General features: G+C 57.1%; 3 annotated features.

Annotated features, from left to right (window-relative positions):
* Window positions 372-1,233: an enhancer, noted in NCBI's record as "H3K4me1 hESC enhancer chr14:90989062-90989923 (GRCh37/hg19 assembly coordinates)". NCBI's record gives its function as "activates a minimal SCP1, AML or CMV promoter by ChIP-STARR-seq in naive H9 embryonic stem cells {active_cell/tissue: H9 hESC(naive)}" and the evidence as "EXISTENCE:reporter gene assay evidence [ECO:0000049][PMID:30033119]".
* Window positions 4,560-5,294: an enhancer, noted in NCBI's record as "H3K4me1 hESC enhancer chr14:90985001-90985735 (GRCh37/hg19 assembly coordinates)". NCBI's record gives its function as "activates a minimal SCP1, AML or CMV promoter by ChIP-STARR-seq in naive H9 embryonic stem cells {active_cell/tissue: H9 hESC(naive)}" and the evidence as "EXISTENCE:reporter gene assay evidence [ECO:0000049][PMID:30033119]".
* Window positions 5,295-6,029: an enhancer, noted in NCBI's record as "H3K4me1 hESC enhancer chr14:90984266-90985000 (GRCh37/hg19 assembly coordinates)". NCBI's record gives its function as "activates a minimal SCP1, AML or CMV promoter by ChIP-STARR-seq in naive H9 embryonic stem cells {active_cell/tissue: H9 hESC(naive)}" and the evidence as "EXISTENCE:reporter gene assay evidence [ECO:0000049][PMID:30033119]".

Raw genomic sequence — 6,547 nt, 5'->3', positions numbered from 1 at the left:
TAAAGGTCAGACCCTGCACGTGGCCTCCTTTGTTTCCAGGGAGCATGGTGGGTTCTGGAGGCCCAGCACAGCCCCCTGTCCATCCACAAGCAAAGGCCTCGGCCCACTGCTGCGGTGGCCCCAAAACACCGCGTGGCCTGTGGCTGAGGCCTGGACCACCATGCCTGTGGGCAGGGGTCAGGACACATGTTCTGATCACCTGCCGTGCGGTTGGTGCTCTTCCAAACCTGAGGGCCCAGTTCTTATGTCTGTGGCCCAAGAAAGAAAAATCCAGCTACTCAAATAATTTTGAAATGACTCAGAACCTTGCATTTCTCTCTCTCTCTCTTTTTTTTTTTTTTTTGACACAGTGTCTCACTCTGTCGCCCAGGCTGGAGTGCAGTGGCACAATCTTGGCTCACTGCAACCTCCACCTCCCGGGTTCAAATGATTCTCCTGCCTCAGCCTACTGGTAGCTGGGATTACAGGTGTGCACCACCATGCTTGGCTAATTTCTGGGTTTTTTTTTAGTAGAGATGGGCTTTCACCACGTTGGTCAGGCCGGTCTGGAACTCCTGACCTCGTGATCCACCCGCCTCAGCCTCCCAAAGTGCTGGGATTACAGGCGTGAGTCACCGCGCCCAAAAACTTTGAGGGAGCTTTAAGCCCCCAGCCCCGGGCATCCCGCCCTTCTCTGATCAGTGAGGCCATTGGTGACCAGCTCTGCGGAACCCAGGGCCAGTGGCATCCAGACTGCAGGTTCATGTGTGTACACACAGACACGCACGGTGCACACACCCAGGTGCTACACCTCCCTGGGAGCAGGGAGGGATGGAGGGGCTGGGCAGCCTCCTGCGATGCTGTCAGGCCTGCCTCCCTTGGGCTGCTGTTGCCCTGGCAACCACCACAGGCTCAGGGCTGGAAGCCAAAGGACCAGCTCCCCCCTCCCACGCTGTGGTGCCCATGCGGGGCGTGGTCTCTCTTTGAGTGCTCCGGCCAGAGCTGTTTTCACAGAAAGGTAGGGGGAGGGCAGAGGGTGGCGTGGAGCGCTGCTGTGACTGCAAAAAGGGACAGGATTGGGTGGGGGCCAAAGAAGGCACTCCCCCCAGGCACATCCAGCTCCCTAGAGAGATCTCAGGGGACAGGTGATGGGGTAGGCGCTCAGAGTACACACTCCAGAGGCCAGGGAAGGACTGCAGCCAGGAGAAAGGGGAGGCGCCCAGGCCGCGGCACGAGGAGGAGTCTCCCCTGTCGTCACCACCACGCCAGGCCAGGACCAGTGCCTGAAGGAAGCCACTCCTGACCGCAGCCCCCGCGGCTTCTCCTCCCACTACTCCTGGCTGGTTTTCCTGACCAGAGCCTCCCCTCGTGCTGTCCGCTCTTCTGCTCCTTTCAAATCCTCACAGATGCCCCTACATGTCCTTCCACTCAGGCAGAGGGGCTTGAAACCCAGAGCTGGCGCTCTTCCTACAGCAAGAGCGGGGGTGAAGAGTTTGCCCTTGACTTGCGTGGCCCATAGTGATGCACTGTTGTGAGCGCCTGAGTGTGTCCGCCCAGCCGAAGGCCCCTCCCCGCCTCTGTTTCTCCCACAGGGGTCTCAGCCCGAGCGCCCTGTGCTAGCGCAATTGCTGAGCCCACCTCACTCAGCACAGTGCCACGTTCAGCAGGCACCCACTGTGCACCAGGCACACCGCACAAGGAGCCCAGCAGGCGGTGTTCTGGACATTCTTCCCCCTCCCGGCCCAGGCCTTCAGGGAGCGAGCAGAGAATGGAGGACTAGGTCAGCTTCTCCTGGCCCCACTGGAGGCCACAGCCACGGGTGCTGGAGTCACGCACCCTGGGTTTCAAGTCCGGCTCCACTGTGTATCTGCTGCGTGACTTTCAGTCTGTCACTTGCCCTCTCTGTGCCCCACCTTACTCATCTGTAAATGAGGGGTAATAAAGGCACCTACCTCATTGATTAGTTTGTTGTAAAAATCAAATCTGATCATGTCTTGAAAGCCTCAAGTACAAGGTTCCTGGTGCAGTGAGCATCGGCTATTTGGTTTAGAGGGGCGCGAGGCAGGGAGAAGCAGGACCTGTGCCTTCTTGCCCGTGTTCGTCTTACACGGGTCACATGCCCATGGGAGTTCCCACTCTGGGCCTCAGTTTCCCCAGCTGGGGGCTGAGAAGGTGAGGCTCACCAATGACGATGTCTCTGGCTGTCCTGTCTCCTACAGGCCAGGACTGCAGGGGATGCAGGCAGAGCCAAGGGCATCCAGTTGTTGTGTGACGTTGGACAGGTCACCCTCCCGGGGCCTCTGCTCGGTCTCCTGTCCTGTAAGAGGCTCCAGCTGGTGCTGTTCCCTCCCAAACACCTTTGTGAGCTGTGGAAAACATCAGAGACCTCAGGAGGTCCTTCTAGCTGGGGCCCGCTGCATGCCAGGTCTCCATGGCACCCAACCCTGCAAGGTCACGGCTCTCAAGAGGCTGGGCACTTGCTCCAGGTCTCAGCAAGAACAAAGCTGGTCGCTGCATCTCGGTCTGTTGGGCCCCAAGACCTTTGCTATAACCGTCTCCTCCTGCCTCAGCCCCTGGCCCCCACCCTACCTCCCAGAAAGTTCTCCCCCAAGTTCCTGGGTGAGAGCCAGTGGCCCTGGCGTGTGACAGCTTTTGGCTTTCTCCCATCAGAAGAGCAATTTTTTCCTCTCCTTGGCTGTACTTTCTTTTAATGACTTTTTGGCTCAAGGCCCAAGCTGGATCAAAGACTCCCTGGGGGAGGACAGTAGGAGAGGACAGCAGGTTTGCTGTGAGAAAATCGTGGAGGTGAAGCTTGTGTCTTAGGGTCTGGAGGGGACAGATGGGCCCAGGAGGTGGGGCTGCCTCAGGCTCCAAATGGGGAAGGGGTGTGGAACCTCTCTGTCTCTCACCACAGATGCAGAAGAGGAGGTAAGGACAAGGAGCACAGGGTGGAGAAAGGAGCCCGTTAGGGTGAAGTGAGAACAGGAGGCTCCCAGTGTGTTAGCTGGGACTGGACAACCTCTGGGCCCAAGCTTGAGGTCCCAGTGGACCCCTGTCTTCAGAGAAGCCTGAAAGATCTGCTCAGACAAGGAAGGAGGTGAGGGTGGGGCAAGGAGCCTGGGACTGTCTCTAGGAGATTCTGACTCCCTTCACCTTCCTTCTCTCTCACTCAGCACCATCCCCTCCCCACCTGCCAGGCTGGACCCAACTGGGGAAGCCTGGGAAGTACCCCTTGACTTGGTGGGTCCTGGTGTCAAGGGAAAAGATAACCCTCCTGAGAGTAGCTGCCCTGTAGCTGGGCCTCCAAGGTGCCAGGAGGGGAAAGGGCCAGGGCCTGGAAAACACAGCTGCTGATGGCAGCCTGGAGCTAGCCCCGCAGGGCGGGGGGCCACGCAAGTGGTAAACAGGAGGGAGGTGGCTCACCCCTTGGGAGCTGCTGCGGATGTTGTTTTGGAAAAGGGATCAGGAGTCAGCCACTGTGGAGCGCCAGGGCCCTGGAGAGCCAGAGAGAGCCACTGCAACAGAGACAGTCCTGCTGGAGCCCAGGAGTCTGGGAGAGCCAGTAAAGATTTGGGTGAGGGAGGCCCAACTGCTCCTCTGAGGAATAAGGAGAGACCCTCCCTCTAGACAGAGTCATCAGGGTTTGTCCAGAATGGCTTGGGTTTCATACACACTGACCTAAGTGACTTCTCATGTGCACACTCCCTGCACACAGACCCCTGAACACATGTTCACATGCACTCCACACACACCCTCGCACACACATTCCTGCACACACACTCCTGCACATATACACACTCACATACAGCCCTGCACACACAGGTTCTGTGTGAGGCCACATGGTTCAAGTCTCAGCATCACCACTTCTTGGCTCTAAATGTGGGCGTTTCACTTACGCTCTCTAAGCCTCAGTTTCCCCATCTGCCAGGTGGAGCCAATACTCTTGTCCTACCTCTGGGTGATTGCGAGGTTAGCAATGCCAGCTGCCAGCTTGGACCCATGTAAGTCATTGTCCTCCCCGTTTAGTTAAGGAAACTGCATCTCAGCAAGGTCGAGGGAGTGGCCCCAGTGCCTGGGCCAAGTAACAGGACAGGACTTGAATCACATTTTGAACCAGAGGTCACCTGCACATCACACATCCATATTCACCCATATGTGCCCACACGAGTTAGCAACTCGTGCACACTCATAGATGCACGTGATTGTAATAATAGCCTCCATTGATGCGCATTTACCATAGGCTGGGCATTGTGCCAAGTGCTTTACCCATGCTCACACAGCACCTCACACCTCAGTGCTGCCCCGATGTGTTTGGCTGCAAGTAACAGAATTCAACAAAACCACAAATACAGCCATTGTTACTTCACAAGGACCCTGGGCATAGGCAGTTTCCGGGTGGCTTGGCTGCTTGGTGAGGTCATCAAGGACCCAGGTTCTTTCCCTCTCTCTGCCCACCATCCTCTGTGTTAACTTGGTGCCACATAGTTGCAGGATGGCTGCTGCAGCACCGGCCACCACGTCTGCACTCCAGCATGAAAGAAAGTGAGGGTGGACCTAAGAGAACTCTCCTTTCACACCCTTCCCTTTTGTTAAGAAGCAAAAGCTCTCCCAGAAGCACCCCCACAAAAAACTTTCCCTTACACTTCATTGCCTGAAATTGCGTCAATGGCCCCTAGCTGCAAAGGAGGCTGGGAAAGAAAGGGCCTGGCACAGGGGTACAGGGCCATCATCACTGACTTATGCAATGAAGCAAGACTTGTCCCTGGGGCTGGGCATTCTGCCGCCTTGAACAAAATCAACGTTCTGTTGGCCAGGAAGAGGAGGTGAAGGTGGATGAAAATGTCTACTGCTTGTGCCCTTCAGCACCATCCTTCATCCCTCCTCCAGGGGGCAGTGTGGGACAGAAGACACAGAAGGCACAGGGGTGTGAACGCCTGGCGGGGGATGAGGGGACCCCAAATTCCAGTGCAAACCCAGCCAGCAACAGGCCTGCTGCAGACAGCTTCCTGGAACAAGGCACGTACCTGGTTGTGCCCACCCCAGGCACCAGAATCCAGGTCACAACGGCACGTGTCCCCGAACCCAGACATCTAGTGCTGTGGTTCTTAACCTTTGTTTCTTCCTGCCATGACACATGGATGGGATGGGTGCATGCCCATGGCCGTCCTACCCTTCACCAGCCCTCACCAAAACATATCTGCCTGCGAGTGCCTGATGACGCTGTCATGGGGTAGCCTGGAGTCCCCTCTAACGAAAGACAACAGGAAGTCAGTAGCTCACCTTCCCCAGGCATCACATGGAGCCAGCCGGGAGTCCCTAGTGCGGGGAATGACTGCCTCATGGAGCATTTGTGAAGATGGGTTGTTGAGAAGGGCTTGCTGTCATGTTCCTTCTGGAGTGACATTAATCCGGCCTGCCCTTCAGTCAACACAGCTTGAGGACCAGCCCTGGCTGAGTGCTGAGGGCGGGGCTTGGCTGTCCGGGACCAACCACGGGTCTTTTTTGGGAGATGCGTCCCTGTTTGGATTTTATCTGAAAGCCCTCTATCCAGGGTCCTGTTGACGCCATGTGTGCCCTGTGGGCCTTGGTCCGGGTCATGCATTCTGGGGACGCTCTCCTGAGCTGGAGCACTAGCCACTGTGCACATGATGTTTGGGGTCCCTGACCCTGCAAAAGCTCCAAGCTCCCTGGAGCACCCTTCCTGCCTGCCCAGCCAGCAGTTTCTAGTGGAAGTTTATTTCCTTCTGCGCGCTCTGCGGTGCTGGCCGCCGGCCTAACGAGCACGGCTTCTTGCTTTATGTTAGGCCCTGCAGATCTCCGGCAGAAGCTGTCTCTGTCCCAGGCACTGGCAGAGGGAGGGGATGGAATCCCTTCCAGATCAGAGTCAGAGATGGAAGCAGAAGCCCCTCCAGACAGCGCATGGCCCCAGGACACTTGCTGGGGGAGCCCCAACAAATCTCGTACTTGGGCAGTGCAGGACTCAGCACCCTTTGGACAGATCTCCCGCCCACTGTCTCCCTAAACACTGAGAACTGAACTTCTTATAAATGCTTTTGGGTGTTAAGAATGGGGCTTGGGAAGGCTGTGATCACACCACCGCACTCCAGCCTGGGTGACAGAGCAAGGCCCTGTCTCGAAGAAAAAAAAAAGAGTGTGGCAGTAGATCCTGGTGGCCCTTCCCTTTGAGAGAGCGGGTGGCAGGGAGTGGCTGGGTGTGAAGGGTGCATGTGCCGCGATTCAAGGAGAGGGAGTCCCCACAGGTCCCCACATGGCTGTGTCAGCAGCTTTGGCTTCCAGCAAGTGGCGGGAGGGGAGGGCGTGTTTGTCTGAAAAGGTTACTAAAGGTTGTTTCACTCAAAGGATTTGGTTCTTTGCAACCTGGCCGCTTGGATCCCAGAGTTGGGCGAGGTGGGAGACACAGTGGGGTTTTCAGCTCATCTCCGCTCTGGGCGGGCTGGGGGCAGGGGCAGGGACTGGGTGTCCTCTCTGGCTGCAGCTGCACTCCTTGCAAGAAGGGAGGGGGTTCTGGTGAGGGAGGGCCAGAGCCCAGGTGTTCACACCTGCGTAT

The sequence above is a fragment of the Homo sapiens genome, chromosome 14, assembly GCF_000001405.40.
Source record: "Homo sapiens chromosome 14, GRCh38.p14 Primary Assembly".
NCBI lineage: Eukaryota > Metazoa > Chordata > Mammalia > Primates > Hominidae > Homo > Homo sapiens.
The sequence above is the reverse complement of the archived record's forward strand: the minus strand, read 5'-3'. Positions and strand labels throughout refer to the sequence as shown.